At 51.3% G+C, this 21,291-nt stretch overlaps 4 annotated features.

Moving 5' to 3' along the window:
• Nucleotides 4,062–4,321: an enhancer, noted in NCBI's record as "active region_10692". NCBI's record gives its function as "activates an Ori minimal core promoter by ATAC-STARR-seq in GM12878 lymphoblastoid cells {active_cell/tissue: GM12878}" and the evidence as "EXISTENCE:reporter gene assay evidence [ECO:0000049][PMID:35858748]".
• Nucleotides 14,641–15,141: an enhancer, noted in NCBI's record as "H3K4me1 hESC enhancer chr16:30187986-30188486 (GRCh37/hg19 assembly coordinates)". NCBI's record gives its function as "activates a minimal SCP1, AML or CMV promoter by ChIP-STARR-seq in primed H9 embryonic stem cells {active_cell/tissue: H9 hESC(primed)}" and the evidence as "EXISTENCE:reporter gene assay evidence [ECO:0000049][PMID:30033119]".
• Nucleotides 20,331–20,440: an enhancer, noted in NCBI's record as "active region_10693". NCBI's record gives its function as "activates an Ori minimal core promoter by ATAC-STARR-seq in GM12878 lymphoblastoid cells {active_cell/tissue: GM12878}" and the evidence as "EXISTENCE:reporter gene assay evidence [ECO:0000049][PMID:35858748]".
• Nucleotides 21,161–21,270: a silencer, noted in NCBI's record as "silent region_7357". NCBI's record gives its function as "represses an Ori minimal core promoter by ATAC-STARR-seq in GM12878 lymphoblastoid cells {active_cell/tissue: GM12878}" and the evidence as "EXISTENCE:reporter gene assay evidence [ECO:0000049][PMID:35858748]".

A 21,291-nucleotide genomic window follows, 5' to 3' on the forward strand; every position in this document is an offset into this window, starting at 1 on the left:
TCATTGCTTAGCAGTGTTGGGAAAGAAAGAGGATTTTATCTATTGAATGCCAGCCATGTGTTGGCCACTGTGCTGGGCAAATGCAACTCATTTTGAAGGCCAGACATGGTGTGGCTCATACCTGTAACCCCAGCACTCTGGGAGGCTGAAGCAGGAGGATCACTTGAGGCCAGGAGTTTGAGACCATCCTGGGTGACACAGTGAGATCTCATCTACAAAAAATGAAAAATTAGCTAGGTCCAGTGGCTCGTGCCTGTGGGCCCACCTCCTGGGGAGACTGTGGCAGGAGGAGGATTGCTTGAGCCTGGGATGTCAAGGCTGCAATGAACCATAATCACACCACTGCACCCCAGCCAAGGCGACAGAGCAAGATCCTGTCTCAAAGAAACAGACAACAACTCAGTCTGTGGAAGAGGGGGACATATAAACAATGACTATCCAATGTACCAGTTACAATGATTGAGGTATACAGCAAGGGCCACTAACACAAAACAGAAAGGAAAGCATTTGGGCAGTGACTGTGGGTCAGGGGAGAGGCAGTTCCCAGAGAAGGAAATCTTGACTTGAGTTTTATTTATTTATTTTAATTTTTATATTTTTGAGATGGAGTCTCACTCTGTCACCCAGGCTGGAGTACAGTGGTGCGATCTCGGCTCGCCGAGCCACCACACCTCGCCAGGTTTCAAGGGATAAGTAGGATACATGAAAGTTTGGTAGGAAACAAAGAGTAAGAGATTTCAGGCCCAGGCTGGGCACGGTGGCTCACACCTGTAATCCCAGCTCTTTGGGAGGCTGAGGCAGATAGCTTGAGTTCAGGAGTTCGAGACAAGCCTGGGCAACATGGCAAGACCCTGTCTCTAAAAAATATATAAATTAAAAATAAATTCAGGCCAGGCGCAGTGACTCACATCTGTAATCCCAGCACTTAGGGAGGCCAAGGTGGGTGGATCATTTGAGGTCAGGAGGTTGAGACCAGCCTGACCAACGTGATGAAATTCTATCTCTACCAAAAAATTAAAAAATTAGTCAGGTGTGATGGTGCATATCTGTAGTCCCAGGTACTTGGGTGGCTGAGGCAGGAGAATCACTTGAACCAGGGAGGTGGAGGTTGCAGTGAGCCGAGATGGTGCCACTGCACTCCAGCCTGGGTGACAGAGCAAGACTCTGTCTCAAAAATAAATAAATAAATTAATTTTAAAAAAGAGATTTCAGGCCCATGTCAAGGGCAAAGAACAGAGTCAAAAAAGAAAAATTGCTGGCCAGGGCAGGGCCTGGTGGCTCATGCCTATAATCTTAGCAGTTTGGTAGGCTGCGGTGGGAGCATCACTTGAGGCCAGGAGTTTCAGACCAGCCTGGGCAACATAGCAAATCCCTGTCTCTATTTCTTTAAAAAAAAAAAAAAAAATCTGGCCAGAAAAACCACATCCAAACCAAAGACATATTTAGTTTTGCTCGCACAACATTTTTAGAAATTTTTGAATTAGTTGCCAACATTGAAAGATCTAGAGCTTTCACATAAAAATCCATATTTCTACTTTATCTTGAAAAGCCAAGTTTGGCTACACAGGGCCAGCATTTCTTCATGGTGACAAGTGGCTGGCACCACCACAGCCCCTCCACTCCCTGTTCTGGTTCACCCGCCCTGCCTCAGATGCTCATGTTACCTGCACAGTCCTCTCTAGTGAATGAAAGACGGCTGCCAATCCTTTGTAAATTTCCACATCAAAAGAAGTTGGCTGGGTGTGGTGGCTCACACCTTTAATCCCGGCACTTTGGGAGGCAAAGGTGGATGGATCACCTGAGCTCAGGGGTTTGAGACCAGCCTGGCCAATATGGTGAAACCCCATCTGTTGCCAAAAAGAGTGGTTTGTTTGTTTGTTTGTTTATTTGTGTATAGACAGGGTCTCACTCTATTACCCAGGCTGGAGTGCAGTGGTGTGATCATAGCTCACTGCAGACTTGACCTCTTGGGCTCAAGCGATCCTCCCACCTCAGCCTCCCAAGCAGCTGGAACTATAGGCACACGCCACCTATAGTCTGGCTAATTTTTAAATATTTTTAGAGACAAGGGTCTTACTTTGTTGCCCAGGCTGGTCTTGAACTCCTGGCCCTAAGTGATCCTCCTGCCTTGGCCTCCCAAAATGCTGGGATTAGAGGTGTGAGCCACTGCACCCAGCCCGCTAACTTTTTATATTATTCGTTGAGTTAGGATCTCTCTGTGTTGCCCAGGCTAGTCTTGAACTCCTGGGCTCAAGAAATCCTCCTGCCTTGGCCCCTCAAAGTGCTGGGATTACAGGTGTGAGCCACCACACTGGAGCCATTATTTATTATTATTTTGTTTGTTTGTTTGTTTTGAAACAGGGTTGCACTTTGTTGCCCAGGTTGGAGTACAGCAGTGTGATGTTGGCTCACTGCAACCTCTGCCTCCCTGGTTCAAGCAATCCTCCCACCTCAGCCTCCTGAGTAGCTGGGACAACAGGTGCATGCCCAGCTAATTTTGTATATTTTTTGTAGACACAAGGTTGCACCATATTGCCCAGGCAGTTCTTGAACTTCTGAGCTCAACTGATCCACCCGCCTTGGCCTCCCAAAGTGCTATGATTATAGGTGTGAGCCACTGCACCTGGCCAAATTGACAACCATTTTGTTATTTCTCATTATTCTGGGATTTTGAGCAGAAGCATCCTGAGAAAGGAAGCAAAACCTTTTAGTCTACTGAAAGGATAGGCCTGTAATTGTCACAGAATAACTTCTACCACATTCTATCAGTTAAGCAGTCATGGGAGCTGGGTGTGGTGGCTCATGCCTGTAATCTCAGCACTTTGGGAGGCTGAGGTGGGCGGATCGCCTGAGGTCAGGAGTTTCAGACCAGCCTGGCCAACATGGTGAAACCCCATCTCTACTAAAAATACAAAAATTAGCCAGCTGTGGTGGCGTGTGCCTGTAACCCCAGCTACTCAGGAGGCTGAGGCACGAGAATCGCTTGAACCCAAGAGGTGGAGGTTGCAGTGAGCTGAGATTGTGCCACTGCACTCCAGCCTGAGTGATGGAACAAGACTCTGTTTCAAATAAGTAAGTGAGTAAGTAAGTAAGTAAGTAAGTAAATAAATAAATAAAAGATGGATCAGAAGAAGGTGAGATGGCCTGCAGATTACTTAGGGGGTTCCTGCAATGGTAGAAGCAACTCAACTCAGGTAGTGTCGGTAGTGATGAAGAGAAAAGGGGAGATTCAAGGTCAAGACTCCTCACTCCAGGAGGCCCTCCCTGGGGTTCTAATGGGACATGCAGGTCAGAACCAGGAAACACAGAGACAGGTTTGTACCTCAGAGACAGGCTGAGAGTCATCAGAGTTTGCAATTGAAGCTGCCTATGTGGATAAGATAGTGTGGGGAGTTTGAGTGCAATAAGAAGAGATGGAGGTGCGGGACTCACGTCTGTAATCCCAGCACTTTGGGAGGCTGAGATGGGTGGGTTGCTTAGGGCCAGGAGTTTAAGACCAGCCTGGGCAACATTATGGGACCCCCCCCGCCTCTCCAAAAACCAGAAGTATTAGCCAGGCATGGTGTTGCACGCCTTTAGTCCCAGCACTTTGGGAGGCTGAGGCAGGAGGATCGCCTGAGCCCAGGACTTTGAGGCTGCAGTGAGCTGTAATTGCACCCCTGCACTCCAGCCTGGGTGACAGAACAAGACCCTGAATCTAAATAAGTAACTAAGAGGTGGAGTCCTGGGAGGACTCTGGGTGTAATGAGTAAAGCAGAGGAAGAGACACCCCACAGGGGATTGACAGAGAAAGCCATAGAGAAAGATGAGAACAAGGGGAGGGTGCGTCGTCGCATATTCGAAAGGAACATGTTCAAGGAGGAGGCATAGTCAGTAGCATTGGATGGACACCAAAACGTGTTTGCCTGATTTGATGACCAGGAAGTTACTGGTGGCCCTGCTGAGGGCAAATCTTTTTTTTTTTTTTTTTTAATGGAGTTTCGCTCTGTCACCCAGGCTGGAGTGCAATGGCTCAATCTCGGCTCACTGCAACCTCTGTCTCCCGGGTTCAAGCGATTCTCCTGCCTCAGCCTCCCCAGTAGCTGGGATTACAGGTGTGCGCCACCACACCCAGCTAATTTTTGTGTTTTTAGTAGAGATGGGGTTTCACCATGTTGGCCAGGGTGGTCTTGAACTCCTGACCTCAGGTGATCTGCCTGCCTCAGCCTCCCAAAGTGTTGGGATAACAGGCGTGAGCCACCGGGCCTGGCTGGTGAGGGCAAATATATGTGGAATGGCGAGGGCAGAAGACAGACTCAAGTAGGTGGAAAAGTAGGAAATGAGGAAGTGGAGACAGTGAGTGTCCACCACTCTCTCAAGAAACTCACATGTGAACAATAGGAGTGAAATAGGGAAGTGGTTTGAGGTTGCCAAGTTGAGAGAGGTTCCCCCTGCACACAGGAACCTGGGTGTGTTTTATATCCTGAAAAGAGAGGGTCTGCAGAGAGAGGCCTGCCAGTAGAGGAGAAAAGGGTGAAACGATGAGGTGAGATCACTGAAGAAATGGGAGGAATGTGTCCCAAGAGGGATCGGCCTTGGGCCCAATGAGAACCATTACTTTAAAAACATTTTTTTAGAGACAGGGTCTCCTTCTGTCATCCAGGCTGGAATGCAGTGGCGCAATCATAGTTCACTGAAGCCTCCAACTCCTGGGCTCAAGGGATCCTCCTGCTTCAGCCTCCCGAGTAGTTAGGACTACAGGCACATGCCATCACACGTGGCTAATATTTTATTTTATTTATTTATTTATTTATTTGAGACAGAGTTTCGCTCTTGCTGCCCAGGCTGGAGTGCAATGGTACAATCTCAGCTCATTGCAACCTCCGCCTCCCGGGTTCAAGCAATTCTCCTGCCTCAGCCTCCCAAGTAGCTGGGATTACAGGCATGCGCCACCACGCCTGGCTAATTTTTTGTATTTAGTAGAGACAGAGTTTCACCATGTTGGTCAGGCTGATATCGAACTCCTGACCTCGGGTGATCCGCCCGCCTTGGCCTCCCAAAGTGCTGGGATTACAGGCATTAGCCACCGTGTCCAGCCCATATTTTATATTTTGTAGAAATGGAGTCTCACTATGTTGTTCAGGCTTGTCTCAATCTCCTGGCCTCAAATGATCCTCCTGCCTTGGCCTCCAGAAGTGCTGGGATTTCAGGCATGAGCCACTGTGCCCGGGCAGGAGTGCTTTCAGAATGTGAGTCAGTGCTGACCCTGCAGGTAGATGGAAGATCAGGGCCACATGAGGAGGTGCCAGGCTACCAGAGCAACCTCTTGCCAATGAAACTGTTACTTCTTTACCTGGAGACTTGTGGGGGCTCCGTGCTACTCACTGGAGAAAACTCCTTGAGAAGGCTCTGTTTGAGGTCCCCCATGCTCTGCCCCTATGGACCTTCCCAGCATTCTGACCTTTCCTCTCACCCCAAGCATCTGAGGCCCCAGCCTTGGGGGACAGCTCTCCATTCCCTAAAACGTCATGATCTTTTCCTGCCTTCATCTGAATGGCTCTTCTCCCTCCTGCCTCTCTTCTTTGCTTGGCAGACTCCTATTCAATACCTAGTTCAGGCCAGGAGCAGTGGCTCACGCCTGTAATCCCAGCACTCTGGGAGGTGAGGCAGGCGGATCACCTGAGGTCAGGAGTTTGAGACCAGCCTGGGCAGTATAGCAAGACCCCATCTCTAAAAAAATAGAAAAATTAGACAGGTGTGGTGGCTTGCACCTGGAATCCCAACACTTTGGGGTGCCCAGGCGGGCGGATCACCTGAGGTCCGGAGTTCGAGACCAGCCTGGCCAACATGGTGAAACCTGTCTCTACAAAAAATAGAAAAATTAGACAGGTGTGGTGGCTCACACCTGGAGTCCCAGCACTTTGAGAGGCCGAGGCATGCAGATCACTCTGAGGTCAGGAGTTCAAGACCAGCTCAGCCAACATGGCAAAACCCCATCTCTACTAAAAATACAAAAATTAGCTGGGCATGGTGGCAGGCACCTATAATCCCAGCTACTCTGGAGGTGGAGGCAGGAGAATTGCTTGAACCTGCGGGGAGGAGGTTGCAGTGAGCCGAGATCGTGCCACTGCACTCCAGACTGGGCGAAACAGCAAAACTCCATATCAAAATAAAGAAATCATGTCTGCTATGGCAGACCCACAGTCAGCTGCAGCTCTGAGCCAACTGCAGGATGAAGAACCATTGCCTAATTGGAAAGTGTCAGCATCCCAGAATTCAAAAAAGAAATCTGATGAGGCTTTTCCTGCTTGATATATTATATGGAGAATTTAGATCTTATGTTGGTTTGCACAAGTTCCCTGCAGAAAAAAAAATTGCTCTGTGTATATCTCTTGGAAAATAAGATAATACTATTTTTCCTTTGCAAAGGCAGCTATAACAGATGTGAAGACTCAGTGCTCGGTGGTGCCCAGGCTGGAGTGCAGTGGCGTGGTCTCGGCTCGCTACAACCCCGTCTGGGAAGTGAGGAGCGTCTCTGCCTGGCCACCCATCGTCTGGGATGTGGGGAGCCCCTCTGCCTGGCTGCCCAGTCTGGGAGGTGAGGAGCGTCTCCGACCGGCCGCCATCCCATCTAGGAGGTGAGGAGCGCCTCTTTCCGGCCGCCATCACATCTAGGAAGTGAGGAGCGTCTCTGCCCGGCCGCCCATCGTCTGAGATGTGGGGAGAACCTCTGCCCCGCCGCCCCGTCTGGGATGTGAGGAGCACCTCTGCCCGGCCACGACCCCGTCTGGGAGGTGAGGAGCATCTCTGCCCCGCCGCCCCGTCTGAGAAGTGAGGAGACCCTCTGCCCGGCAACCACCCCGTCTGAGAAGTGAGGAGACCCTCCACCCGGCAGCCGCCCCGTCTGAGAAATGAGGAGCCTCTCCGCCCAGCAGCCACCCCGTCTGGGAAGTGAGGAGCGTCTCCGCCCGGCAGCCACCCCGTCCGGGAGGGAGGTGGGGGGGGTCAGCCCCCCGCCAGGCCAGCAGCCCCATCCGGGAGGGAGGTGGGGGGGTCAGCCCCACGCCCCGCCAGCCGCCCCGTCAGGGAGGGAGGTGGGGGGGTCAGCCCCCCGCCAGGCCAGCCGCCCCGTCCGGGAGGGAGGTCGGGGCGTCAGCCTCCCGCCTGGCCAGCCGCCCCGTCCGGGAGGTGAGGGGCGCCTCTGCCTGGTCACCCCTACTGGGAAGTGAGGAGCCCCTCTGCCCGGCCAGCGGCCCCGTCCGGGAGGGAGGTGGGGGGGTCAGCCCCCCACCCGGCCAGCCGCCCCGTCCGGGAGGGAGGTGGGGGGGGGTCAGCCCCCCGCCCGGCCAGCGGCCCCGTCCGGGAGGGAGGTGGGGGGGGTCAGCCCCCCGCCCGGCCAGCCGCCCGGTCCGGGAGGGAGGTGGGGGGGGTCAGCCCCCCGCCCGGCCAGCCGCCCCGTCCCGGAGGGAGGTGGGGGGGTCAGCCCCCCGCCCGGCCAGCCGCCCCGTCCGGGAGGGAGGTAGGCGGGTCAGCCCCCCGCCCGGCCAGCCGCCCCGTCAGGGAGGGAGGTGGGGGGTTCAGCCCCCCGCCAGGCCAGCCGCCCGGTCCGGGAGGGAGGTCGGGGCGTCAGCCCCCCGCTCGGCCAGCCGCCCCGTCCGGGAGGTGAGGGGCGCCTCTGCCCGGCCGCCCCTACTGGGAAGTGGGGAGCCCCTCTGCCAGGCCAGCCGCCCCGTCCGGGAGGGAGGTGGCGGGGTCAGCCCCCCGCCCGGCCAGCCGCCCCGTCCGGGAGGGAGGTGGGGGGGTCAGCCCCCCGCCCGGCCAGCCGCCCCGTCCGGGAGGTGACGGGCGCCTCTGCCCGGCCGCCCCTACTGGGAAGTAAGGAGCCCCTCTGCCAGGCCAGCCGCCCCGTCCGGGAGGGAGGTGGCGGGGTCAGCCCCCCGCCCGGCCAGCCGCCCCGTCCGGGAGGGAGGTGGGGGGGTCAGCCCCCCGCCCGGCCAGCCGCCCCGTCTGGGAGGTGAGGGGCGCCTCTGCCTGGCCACCCCTACTGGGAAGTGAGGAGCCCCTCTGCCAGGCCAGCCGCCCCATCCGGGAGGGAGGTGGGGGGGTCGGCCCCCCGCCGGGCCAGCCGCCCCGTCCGGGAGGGAGGTGGGGGGGTCAGCCCCCCGCCCGGCCAGCCGCCCCGTCCGGGAGGTGACGGGCGCCTCTGCCCGGCCGCCCCTACTGGGAAGTAAGGAGCCCCTCTGCCAGGCCAGCCGCCCCGTCCGGGAGGGAGGTGGCGGGGTCAGCCCCCCGCCCGGCCAGCCGCCCCGTCCGGGAGGGAGGTTGGGGGGTCAGCCCCCGCCCGGCCAGCGGCCCCGCCCGGGAGGTGAGGGGCGCCTCTGCCCGGCCACCACCCCGTCTGGGAGGTGTGCCCAACAGCTCATTGAGAACGGGCCAGGATGACAATGGCGGCTTTGTGGAATAGAAAGGCGGGAAAGGTGGGGAAAAGATTGAGAAATCGGATGGTTGCCGTGTCTGTGTAGAAAGAAGTAGACATGGGAGACTTTTCATTTTGTTCTGTACTAAGAAAACTTCTGCCTTGGGATCCTGTTGATCTGTGACCTTACCCCCAACCCTGTGCTCTCTGAAACATGTGCTGTGTCCACTCAGGGTTAAACGGATTAAGGGCGGTGCAAGATGTGCTTTGTTAAACAGATGCTTGAAGGCAGCATGCTCGTTAAGAGTCATCACCAATCCCTAATCTCAAGTAATCAGGGACACAAACACTGCGGAAGGCCGCAGGGTCCTCTGCCTAGGAAAACCAGAGACCTTTGTTCACTTGTTTATCTGCTGACCTTCCCTCCACTATTGTCCTATGACCCTGCCAAATCCCCCTCTGTGAGAAACACCCAAGAATTATCAATAAAAAATAAATAAATTAAAAAAAAAAAAAAAACAGATGTGAAAATAAATACACTCAACTCTAATATGATTATACAGAAGAGCATGAATGCATTTCAAATGTTAGATGTTGCTAGTATTATCAAATGATTTATTTTTCTTTTCTTTTCTTCTTTTCTTTTCTTTTTTTTTTTTTTTTGAAACAGGGTCTCTCTGTCACCGAGGCTGGGGTGCAGTGACACAATCATGGCCTAATGCAACCTCGACCTGCTGAGCTTAAGCAATCCTCCCACCTCACCCGCCCCCAGAGTGGCTGGGACTGCAGGCACGTGCCACTGTGCCCAGTTATTTATTTTTTCCTTTTAAATTTTTTGTAGAGACAAGGTCCTACTACGTTACCCAGGCTGGTCTCAAACTCCTGGACTCAAGCAATCCTCCCACCTCGGCCTTCCGAAGTGCTAGGATTATGGGCCTGAGTCACCACACTCAGCCTCAAATAATTTCATATTGACCTTTTAATCATTATTCCTCTCTGCCAAGCACTGAAAAGTTGAATCATTATACTCTATTTCTGCAGTGATATAGATTATGAAAATTCCTTTCGAATTCATTGCAGCAGCTAACTTTTTTGAGTCATTGACTTCATTTTATATTTTAAAAATTATGAAATACCGTCTGTCATTGCATTCTAATTAAAATTTGTGCAGAATGCTTTGGGAAAATGGATCTTTTATAGAAAAAAAACTGGAACAAATGATTTCTTTTCTTTCTTTTTTTTGTTTTTTGAGATGGGGTCTTGCTCTGTTGCCCAGGCTGGAGTGCAGTGGCATGATCTCGGCTCACTGCAACCTCCGCCTCCCGTGTTCAAGCAATTCTCTGCTTCAGCCTCCACAGTAGCTAGGACTACAGGTGCCCACTACCATACCCGGCTAATTTTTGTATTTTTAGTAGAGATGGGGTTTCACCATATTAGCCAAGCTGGTCTTGAACTCCTGACCTTTTGATCCACCCACCTTGGCCTCCCAAAGTGCTGAGATTACAGGCGTGAGCCACCACGCTCGGCCTGGGACAAATGATTTCTATGGCTTTCAAAGATAAAATATATAATATACTAAATCAGGGGTGTCCAATCTTTTGGCTTCCCCGGACCACATTGGAAGAAGAATTGTCTTGGGCCACACATAAAATATACTAACGATAGCTAATGGGCTAAAAAAAAAAAATCACAAAAAAATCTCATAATGTTTTAAGTTTACCAATTTGTGTTGGTCTGCATTCAAAGCCATCCTGGATCATCCTGGGGTTGCACAAGCTTGCACTAAACCAACTCTAACATAGCTTATTCTGTTTTACTGTTAAATTATATCTCTGGGCTGGGCAAGGTGGCGCATGCCTGTAATCCCAGCACTTTGGAAGGCCAAGGTGGGCAGATCACTTGAGGCCAGGAGTTTGAGACCAGCCTGGACAACATGGCGAAACCCCATCTCTACTAAAAATAGAAAAATTGGCTGGGCACGGTGGCTCATGCCTGTAATCCCAGCACTCTGGGAGGCCGAGGCAGGCAGATCATGAAGTCAGGAGTTCAAGACCAGCCTGGTCAACATGGTGAAACCCCATCTCTACTAAAAATACAAAAAATTAGCCAGGTGTGGGCCGGTTGCGGTGGCTCACACCTGTAATCCCAGCACTTTGGGAGGCCGAGGCAGGAGGATCACAAGGTCAGGAGATCGAGACCAACCTGGCTAACACGGTGAAACCCCGTGTCTACTAAAAATACAAAAAATTAGCTGGGTGCGGTGGTGGGTGCCTGTAGTCCCAGCTACTCGGGAGGCTGAGGCAGGAGAATGGCGTGAACCTGAAAGACGGAGCTTGCAGTGATCACACCACTGCACTCCAGCCTGGGCGACAGAGCGAGACTCTGTCTCAAAAAAAAAAAAAAAAAAAATTAGCTGGGTGTGGTGGCACACACCTGTAATCCCAGCTACTCCGGAGGCTGAGGCAGGAGAATTGTTTGAACCCAGAAGGCGGAGGCTGCAGTTAGCTGAGATCATGCCACTGCACTCCAGACTGGGCGATAGAGCAAGACTCTGTTTTGAAAAAAAATAAATTAGCCAGGAGGGTTGGTGCACTCCTATAGTCCCTGCTACGTGGGAGGCTGAGGCATGAGAATTGCTTGAACCCAGGAAGTGGAGGCTGTAGCAAACTGAGATTGTGCCACTGCACTCCAGCCTGGGCAACAGAGCGACAACCCGTCTGCGAAAAAAAAAAAAAAAAAAAAGCTTTTATGGATGATTAAATTTTAGTACATTTCCAAAAAAAAAATTCTTGCTAAATTTAGGTGTAATTAATTATGTATTACGTAATGGTACTGTGGTTAGGTAAAGTAATCCTTATCTGACATACAATAATATGACGAATCTCAAAACATTATGAAAAGTGAAAAAAAGCAGACCCGTATTGTATATTTCATTTGTGTGGAACATTCTAGAACAGGCAAAATTAATCTATAATGACAGCAAAAAGATCAATCGCTGTCTGGGGCTGAGGTTGGGGATTGATTGGGGAAGGAACTTATTTTTTTTATTTTTATTTTTTTTGAGATGGAGTCTCGCTCTGTCGCCCAGGCTGGAATGCAGTGGCGCGATCTTGGCTCACTGCAACGTCCGCCTCCTGGGTTCAAGCGATTCTCCTGCCTCAGCCTCCTGAGTAGCTGGGACCACAGGTACTTGCCACCACGCCCGGCTAATTTTTTGTATTTTTAGTAGAGATGGGGTTTCACCGTGTTGGCCAGAATAGTCTCAATCTCCTGACTGGCAGCCACTGCGCCTGGCGAGTGGAAGGAAATTTTAAGGGTGATGGGAGTATTTCATATTTTGATTATGGTAGTAATTACATGGGTATGTATATTTGTCAAAACTAACTGAATCATGCACTTAAAATGAATGTGCTTTATTGTATGAAAATTAAAGTGGGCTGCGCGCAGAGGCTCACGCCTGTAATCCTAGCACTTTGGGAGCCTGAGGCGGGTGGATCACGAGGTCAGGAGTTTGAGACCAGTGTGGCCACATAGTGAAACCCTGTCTCAACTAAAAATACAAAAAATTAGCCGGCTGTGGTGGTGTGCACCTGTAATCCTAGCTACGTGGGAGGCTGAGGTAGGAGAATCACGTGAACCCGGGAGGCGGAGGTTTCAGTAAGCTGAGATCGCACTACTGCACTCCAGCCTGGGTGACAGCGTGAGACTCCGTCTCAAAAAAAAAAAAAAAAAAAAAAAAAAAGATAAAAAAAGAAAATTAAAGTGTGTTTTGTTGTATGTAAATAAAGTTTGTTTTAAAAAGAAGGAAAATAACGTTACAACTAGAATAAAAATAATCCGCCAGGCATGGTGGTGCACACCTGTAATCCTAGCACTTTGGGAGGCCAAGGTGGGAGGATCGCTTGAGCCCAGGAATTCAAGACCAGTCTTGGCAAAATGGTGAAACCCTGTCTCTACAGAAAATGCAAAAATTAGCCAGTTGTGGTGATGAGCACCTGTCCCAGCTACTTGGGAGGCTGAGGCAGGAGACTTGCTTGAACCCAGGAGGAAGAGGTTGCAGTGAGCTGAGATCTCGTCACTGCACTGGAATTACAGGCACACGCCACCACGTCCAGCTAATTTTTGTATTTTTGTAGAGACGGGTTTTTGTGATGTTGGCCAGGCTGGTCTCAAACTTCTGACCTCAGGTGATCTGCCCACCTTGACCCTGAAAAGTGCTGGGATTACAGGTTTGAGCCACTGCATCTGGCCAGATCTAAGAGATTTTTTTTTAAGTCTCTGTGTGTTAGAGGTAAATACTGAAGTTTTTTTTTTTTGTTTTTTTGAGATGGAGTCTCACTGTGTCGCCAGTCTGGAGTGCAGTGGCATGATCTTAGCTCACTGCAACCTCCACCTCCTGTGTTCAGGCGATTCTCCTGCCTCAGCCTCCCGAGTAGCTGAGACTACAGGTGTGCACCACCACGCCCAGCTAATTTTTCTGTTTTTAGTAGAGATGGGGTTTCACCATGTTGGCCAGGATGGTCTCAATCTCTTGACCTAGTGATCTGCCCACCTCAGCCTCCCAAAGTGCTGGGATTACAGGTGTGAGCCACTGTGCCTGGCTAATACTGAAGTATTTAAGTTGAAATGCTATGATGTCTGAGATTTGTTTTAATACATTCTGTTTTTTTTTGTTTTGTTTTGTTTTGAGACGGAGTCTCAATCTGTCGCCCAGGCTGGAGTGCAGTGGCGCAATCTCAGCTCACTGCAAGCTCTGCCTCCCGAGTTCACGCCATTCTCCTGCCTCAGCCTCCCGAGAAGCTGGGACTACAGGCGCCCACCACCTCGCCTGGCTAATTTTTTGTATTTTTAGTAGAAACAGGGTTTCACCATGTTAGCCAGGACGGTCTCGATCTCCTGACCTTGTGATCCGCCCGCCTCAGCCTCCCAAAGTGCTGGGATTACAGGCGTGAGCCACTGCGCCCGGCTGTTTTAATACACTCTAAGAAAATAATGTGAAAAAAGAAATGAATCAATGTTTGCTAATATTGCCATATTTGAATCAAATATTGCCAATATATGTTGACCATTGTCAAAGCTGGATGATGGGTACAAAAGAGTTTATTATACAATTATTCCCGTTTTCTGTATTTGAAAATGTCTACAGGCCGGGCATGGTGGCACATGCCTGTAATCCCAGCACTTTGGGAGCCTGAGGCAGGAGGATCACTTGAGGTCAGGAGTTGGAGACCAGCCTGGCCAACATGGTGAAACCCCATCACTACTACAGATACAAAATTAGCTGGGTGTGGTGGTGCATGCCTGTAATTCCAGCTACTCAGGAGGCTGAGGCAGGAGAATCATTTGAACCCAGGAGGTGAAGGTTGCAGTAAGCTGAGATTGCAGCATTGCACTCCAGACTGGGCAACAGAATGAGACTCTGTCTCAAAAAAAATTGGCTGCATGAGGTGGCTCATGCCAGTAGTCCCGGCACTTTAGGAGCCCAAGGTAGAGGATTGCTTGAGCCTAGGAGGTCGAGTCCACAGTGAGCTCTAATCGAGCCACTGCACTCCAGCCTGGGTGATAGAGTGAGACCCTGATTCAAAAAATAAAAATAAAGTTAACAAATTCTTGAAAACAGATAAAATAGGCTGGGCGCAGTGGCTCACGCCTGTAATCCTAGCATTTTGGGAGGCCAGGGCAGGCAGATCACCTGAGGTCAGGAGTTTGAGACCAGCCTGGCCAACATGGTGAAGCCCCATCTCCACTAAAAATAGAAACAAATTAGCTGGGCATGGTGGTGAACATCTGTAATCCCAGCTACTCAGGAGGCTGAGGCAGGAGAGTCGCCTCAACCTGGGAGGCAGAGGTTGGAGTGAACCAAGATTGTGCCATTGCACTCCTGCCTGAACAACAGAGTGAAACTCCATCTCAAAAATAATAATAATAATAATAATAAGAGATAAATCCTTATTACCATCAAAAGTTAAAAAAGAAGAAAGAAGGGCCGGGAGCAGTGGCTCACGCCTGTAATCCCAGCATTTTGGGAGGCCGAGGCGGACGGATCATGAGGTCAGGAGATCAAGACCATCCTGGCTAACAGGGTGAAACCCCGTCTCTACTAAAAATACAAAAAAATTAGCCGGGTATGGTGGCGAGCACCTGTAGTCCCAGCTACTTGGGAGGCTGAGGCAGGAGAATGGCGTGAACCCAGGAGGTGGAGCTTGCAGTGAGCTGAGATGGCACCACTGCACTCCAGCCTGGGCAACAGAGCGAGACTCTGTCTCAAAAAAAAAAAAGAAGAAGAAGAAGAAGGAAACCTAGTTCAAATTTTGATAAGGAAAAAAAAAAAGAGAGAATTTGTTGCTTCACATAATGGAAAGGATCTAGCTTCAAGTGCGGCTGGACCCAGGGCGGGCTCCGGGAGTCTGTCTTGTTCTCTCCCTTTCTTGACCCTACTGTCCTCTAGGTTGGTTCTGTTCTCAGGCAGTTTTGCTTCAGATGAAGGTGGGATGACTACCAGCATTTCTTAGACTTCTATCCTATAATGTGAGTCATCCAACAGAAAGTTCCAATAAAAGGCCTGCAATTAGCACTTTGGGAGGCCGAGGTGGGCGGATCACCTGAGGTCAGGAGTCCCAAACCAGCCTGACCAACATGGTGAAACCCCGTCTCTACTAAAAAAATATGGAAGTAGCCAGGCTTGGTGGTGCATGCCTGTAATCCCAGCTCCTCAGGAGGCTGAGGCAAGGAGAATCGCTTGAACCTGGAAGGTGGAAGTTGCAGTGAGCCGTGATTGCGCCATTGCACTCCAGCCTGAGCAACAAGAGCAAAACTCTGTCTCAAAAAAAAAAAAAAAAAAAAAGGCCTGGAATTAGTTCGCAGGGCACTGTTGGCCTGGCCTGGGTCTCCAGCGCTCATCACTCCTCTCTTAATCAGCTGTTCTCTAATGGCAGGAGTGTGCTAATTAGCCTCTGAATCCCCAGCACAAAGCACCCTGCCTGGGACACAAGTAGGTGGGTGGATGGATGGACAGATGGGTGAGGAAGAGGATAGAAAATAAGCAACACAGTGAGACCATGTCTCTAAAAAAATTAAAAGAGGGCTGGGTGAGGTGGCTCAGGCCTATAATCCCAGCACTTTGGGAAAAGCTGAAGCGGGAGAATTGCTTGCATTCAGGAGTTCAAGACCAACCTGGGCAATAATGCAAAACCCCCATCTCCACAAAAAATTTAAAAATTAGCTGGGTATTATGGCACTTGCCTGTAGTCCCAGTGACTCGAGAGGCTGAGGTGGGAGGATCGCTCACTTGAGCCTGGGAGGTGGAGGCTGCAGTGAGCTGTGATTGTGCCACTGCACGCCAGCCTGGGCGACAGAGTGAGACGCTGTCTCAAAAATAAATTAATTAAATTAAATAAAAAATAAGAAAAAGAGCTGGGCACGGTGGCTCACGCCTGTAATTTCAGCACTTTGGTAGGCCAAGATGAGCAGATCGCCTGAGGTCAGGAGTTTGAGACCAGCCTGGACAACATGGTGAAATCCCATGTCTACTAAAAATTCAAAAAATTTGGCCGGGCGTGGTGGCTCACGCCTGTAATCCCAGCACTTTGGGAGGCCGAGGCGGGTGGATCATGAGGTCAGGAGATCGAGACCATCTTGGCTAACACAGTGAAACCCCGTCTCTACTAAAAATACAAAAAATTAGCCGGGAGCGGTGGCAGGCTCCTGTAGTCCCAGCTACTTGAGAGGCTGAGGCAGGAGAATGGCGTGAACCCAGGAGGCGGAGCTTGCAGTGAGCCGAGATCGCGCCACTGCACTCCAGCCTGGGCGACAGAGCCAGACGCTGTCTCAAAAAAAAAAAAAAAAAAAAAAAAAAAAAAATTCAAAAAATTAGCCGGGCGTGGTGGCGGGCACCTGTAATCCCTGCTACTTGGGAGCCTGAGGCAGGAGAATCGCTTGAACCTGGGAGGTGGAGGTTGCAGTGAGCCAAGGTCGGGTTACTGCACTCCAGCCTGGGCGACAGTGTAAGACTCTGTCTCAAAAAAAATAAAAAATAAAAAATAAGAAAAATAAGAAAAGGGTCCCTTTCACATGTTTACAAAGCATGCTACCATGCTAAGGGCAGAAACTCCAAGTGGAAGTGACTTCCCAAAGACAGCATGTTACGTGTGTCATTCTAGGGCCACACTTTCTCCATGGAGAAGGCGGAGGGGGTAGGGAAAGTTGCCAGCACACTCCAGCCTGGTTCCTGGCACTGTGCCCAGCATTTATAGCTAGTTTCCATTAGTCCTCATCCTCTATAAAGTGAGGGCCACTGTGCACCTGTCCTAGATGAGGAAAACGCACCTGGCCAGGGACAGTAAGGAGATGCTGAAACCAAGGTTATCAGGGGTGCCTGACCCCACCATGCTCCACAGCCTCCTTTGGGCAAGACAGACTAGGGAAGCTCTGTGAACCTTGCTAAAGACATTGGACTTTGGCCGGGCATGGTGGTTCACGCTTGTAATCCCAGCACTTTGGGAGGCCCAGGTGGGTAGATCACCTGAGGTCAGAAGTTCAAGACCAGCCTGGCCAACATGGTGAAACCCCCTCTCTACTAAAAATACAAAAATTTGCCAGGCAAGGTGGCATGCACCGTAATCCCAGCTACTCGGGAGGCTGAGTCAGGAGAATCGCTTGAACCTAGGAGGCGCAGGTCACAGTGAGCAGAGATTGTACCACTGTACTCAAGCCTGGGTGACAGTGAGACTCTGTCTCAAAAAAAAAAAAAATAAATAAATAATAAAAATAAAAAGAGGAGTAATGATTTGATTCCAACACTTCAGTCTACCTCTACTGTAGGTATCTGGCTCCTTGGAAGGGCCTCTGGTCCTGTCTCCCTCCAGGGTAGGTGTAATCAGAACTTTTTCAGCTGCAAGTGCCAGGAATCCAACTCATACTTCTTGGCTTACGTGAAAAAGAAGTGCATTGCCTTATACAACAGGAAAGTTAAGGGTTTCAGGCACAGCTTGATCCAGACACTCAAATGATCTCAAGAATATGTCTCTTCATATCTGGCCTCTTCAGGCCTCTGTGTAGACCCATCCTAGCCAGCTTTTTGCTGTTTTTTTTGTTTTTGTTTTTTGTTTTTTTTTTTTTGAGACAGAGTCTTGCTCTGTCGTCCAGGCTGGCGTGATCTCGGGTTACCAAAACTCCCACCTCCTCAGTTCAAACTATTCTCCTGCCTCAGCTTCCCAAGCAACTGAGACTACAGGTGCACACCACCATGCCTGGCTACTTTTTATATTTTTAGTGGAGACAGGTTTTGCCATGTTGGCCAGGCTGGTCTCAAACTCCTGGCCTCAGGTGATCTGCCTGCCTCGGCCTCCCAAAGTGCTGGGATTACAGGCGTGAGCCACTGCACCTTGCTCTGACCAGCTTTTCCTGCATACCAACAAGATATCACCAGCAGTGCTGGGCTTACATCCTATCAGCTTCCTAACTCCCAGTGGAGAGAGGGCATCTTTTTCACAGCAGCTCCAAGGTGAGTCTTGGGCACAAGATGAATCAAGTGCCCATCCCTGAGCCAATGAAAACAGGTTGCTTTGGTTGGGAAGCACAGGCCATGTGAATACGCCAGGTCCCCTCCTGAACCTCATGGAGTGCCTGTGAGGAGAGGTTGGTTCCCCAAAAGAAAATCCAATAAAGAGGCGACGGGACCAGGCACGGTGGCTCATGCCTGTAATTGCACCACTTTGGGAGGCTGAGGCAGGAGGATTGCTTGAGCCCAGGAGGTCGAGACCCACCTAGGCCACATAGTGAGATCCCGTCTCTACCAACAATTTAAAAAATTAGCTAGGTGTGTTGGGCATGTGCCTCTGGTCCCAGGTACTCGGGAGGCTCTGAGGATGGATGGGAGGATCGCTTGAGCGTGGGAGGTTGAGGCTGCAGTGAGCTGTGATCGTGCCATTGCACCCCAGCCAGAGGGAGACCCTGTCTCAAAAAAAAAAAAAAAAAAAAAAAGAGAGAGGCAATGGTAAGAGCTAAACCAGCAGGAACAAGAGAGGCAAAGGTCCCCCTTTTTTTTCTTTTAATTGAAACTGGGTCTCCCTCTGTCACCCAGGCTGGAGTGCAGTGGTGCAATCATAGCTCACTGTTAGCCTGGAACTCCTGGGCTCAAGCGAACCTCCCACTTCAGCCTCCTAAGCAGCTGAGAACACAGGCACATGCCACCACAGCTGGCTAATTTCATTTTTTTTTTTTTTAAGAGATGGGGTCTTGCTATGCTGCCCACACTGGTCTCAAACTCCTAGGCTCAAGTGATTCTCGCCGCTCCTGGGCAAATGCCCTCTGACATCCCTTATAAGGACACCCTTTGAAAAGGTTGTCCCCCTCTCAAACATGGAGAGCCTTGCCAGGGCCTTCCCCACTCACTGCTGTAACTAATTCTTATGCTGCATGGACATCTGCTTCCCAGAACCTCCACCCACCAGCCTTGCCCCTGACCTTTGTGGCAGCCCCAAGGCTGCCCACCCCTTCCCCTGCTGCAGCCCACTTGGCCTCTGAAAGCAGCACTGTCTGCCTGCACCTTGCCCTCTCCAGGGCCGTCAGGCTCGCCACCTTCAGGAGCCTAGTTTTCAGGTCCTTCACCAATGCCCTCGTCCTGTGGGTGGACATGAGGCCCTCCAGAGCTGAAGGCAGTGTGTGCTTCAGTTTCTGCATCTGTAAAATGGAGATAGTATTTGCTACCCAGGGGTGCTATGAGGATTACATGAACATAGTATAGTGTCTAGAACAGTGCCCAGCACATAGTAGGCACTCAATAAAAGCCAGTTATTATTCCTGTCACTTCTGTGGGAGACGGCACATCAGAGTACCCACCTTATCTCGGTCTAGTCCCGTCCAGTCGCAGGCCTTTGAGTACAGTACAGCCCTAAGGTTTTTACAATTGAATAATCTATAAAAGATTTACAGATTTATTGTCTCATTTGAGCCTAGTAACTTTTTTGTTGTTGTTGAGATGGAGTCTTACTCTGTTGCCCAGGCTGGAGTGCAATGGCACAGTCTTGGCTCACTGCAACCTCTGCCTCCTGGGTTCAGGCGATTCTTCTGCCTCAGCCTCCCGAGTAGCTGGGACTACAGGCGCACACCACCATGCCCAGCTAATTTTTTTTTTTTTGAGACGGAGTTTCACTCTTGTTGCCCAGGCTGGAGTGCAATAGTGCCATCTCAGCTCACTGCAACCTCCGCCTCCCAGGTTCAAGCAATTCTCCTGCCTCAGCCTCCAGAGTAGTTGGGATTACAAGCATGCACCACCATGCCCGGGTAATTTTTTTTTTTTTTTTTTTTTGAGATGGAGTCTCGCTCTGTCACCCAGGCTGGAGTGTAGTGCCACGATCTCGGCTCACTGCAACCTCCGCCTCCTGGGTTCACACCATTCTCCTGCCTCAGCCTCCCAAGTAGCTGGGACTACAGGCGCCTGCCACCATGCCTGGCTAATTTTTTGTATTTTTAGTAGAGAGGGGGTTTCACCATGTTAGCCAGGATGGTCTCCATCTCCTGACCTCGTGATCTGCCCGCCTTGGCCTCCCAAAGTGCTGGGATTACAGGCGTGAGGCACTGCGCCCGGCCAGAGCCTCATAACTTTGTGAGGTGGGCAGTTCAAATCTTATTAATTCCCCATTTACCAATGACAAAATGAGGTTCAGAGAGATTAGCCCTCTTGGCCAAGATCGCACAGCCAGTCAGTGGCAGAGGTGGGACTTGAACCCGTCCCTTGCTGTTCCTTGAACTTCTCCACACGACAGGGCTGTCCCTCAGCCTACAGGTCACCCCTCTAGCCTTGCCTGTTGGCTCTTCCTAATCCTTTCAGGCCCAGCCCAGATACTTTTTAAACAAGAATGATGAGAGCTAACTTTTTTTAAAATGAGACGGTCTTGCTCTTTCACCCAGAGAAGACTGGGTGATAACAGTGGCTCAATCTTGGCTCACTGCAGCCTCTGCCTCCAGGGTTCAAGCTATTCTCATGCCTTAGCCTCCTCAGTAGCTGGGATTACAGGGGTGCATCACTACACCACGCTAATTTTTGTATTTTTAGTAGAGATGCGGTTTTACCATGTTGGCCAGGCTGGTCTCGAACTCCTGACCTCAGGTGATCCGCCAGCCTTGGCCTCCCAAAGTGCTGGGATTACAGGCGTGAGTCACTACGCATGGCTGAGAGCTAACGTTTATTAAGCACCCGCCACTTTCTAGATGAGGTCCTTACTGACTTCCTTGGGTTATTTTAGGTAATCATCCCCATACCTCTTACGTGGCAGGTATGACTGTTACAGAGGGAGAAACCGAGGCTGAGAAAGGCTAAGTAGCGGCCACACCTCACTCAGCAGGTGACAGGCTGCGGTCGCACTCATGACATAGTCTGACTCTAGAGCAGGCCTTTCCTGCCCGCTGTTGCTGCCTCCAGAAGCCTCTCTGAATCCAAGGGTGGGAACTATTCCTCCTTGCCCTCGAGCCTTCGCCAAAGCCAGGGCTTGGAGCGGCCGTGGGCTCCTCCTCCTTCCCCCAGGCTGGGCTCTTCAGGGGCGGAAACCTGCCTGGCTTGCCTGCCTTGCTCGACCCTGTAGCCCCTGGCACGAAGTAGGTGCCCGTGATGCCGGATTATTTCAGCAGGAGGGCAGGGGTGTTCCCGATGAAGCCAGGAGATCCAGGGAGGAGAAGCGACTCCCGGGGCCACCCATGCTTAGATCTCAGAGCCAGGCAAGAGCCAGGTCCCGGGGGTCCAGGAGCGCGCTCGGGGCTCCTCCTCGCCCGCGCCCCCCGCGCCCCTCGCGCCCCCCGCGCCCCCCGCGCCCCCTGCGCTCGCGTCTGCGGGGCCGGGAGGAAGGGGCGGCGCAGCCGGGCCGGGGCGGGCACCGAGGCCTGGCGGGCGGGCCTGGGGC

The sequence above is a fragment of the Homo sapiens genome, chromosome 16 (genome assembly GCF_000001405.40).
Source record: "Homo sapiens chromosome 16, GRCh38.p14 Primary Assembly".
NCBI classification, from domain to species: domain Eukaryota; kingdom Metazoa; phylum Chordata; class Mammalia; order Primates; family Hominidae; genus Homo; species Homo sapiens.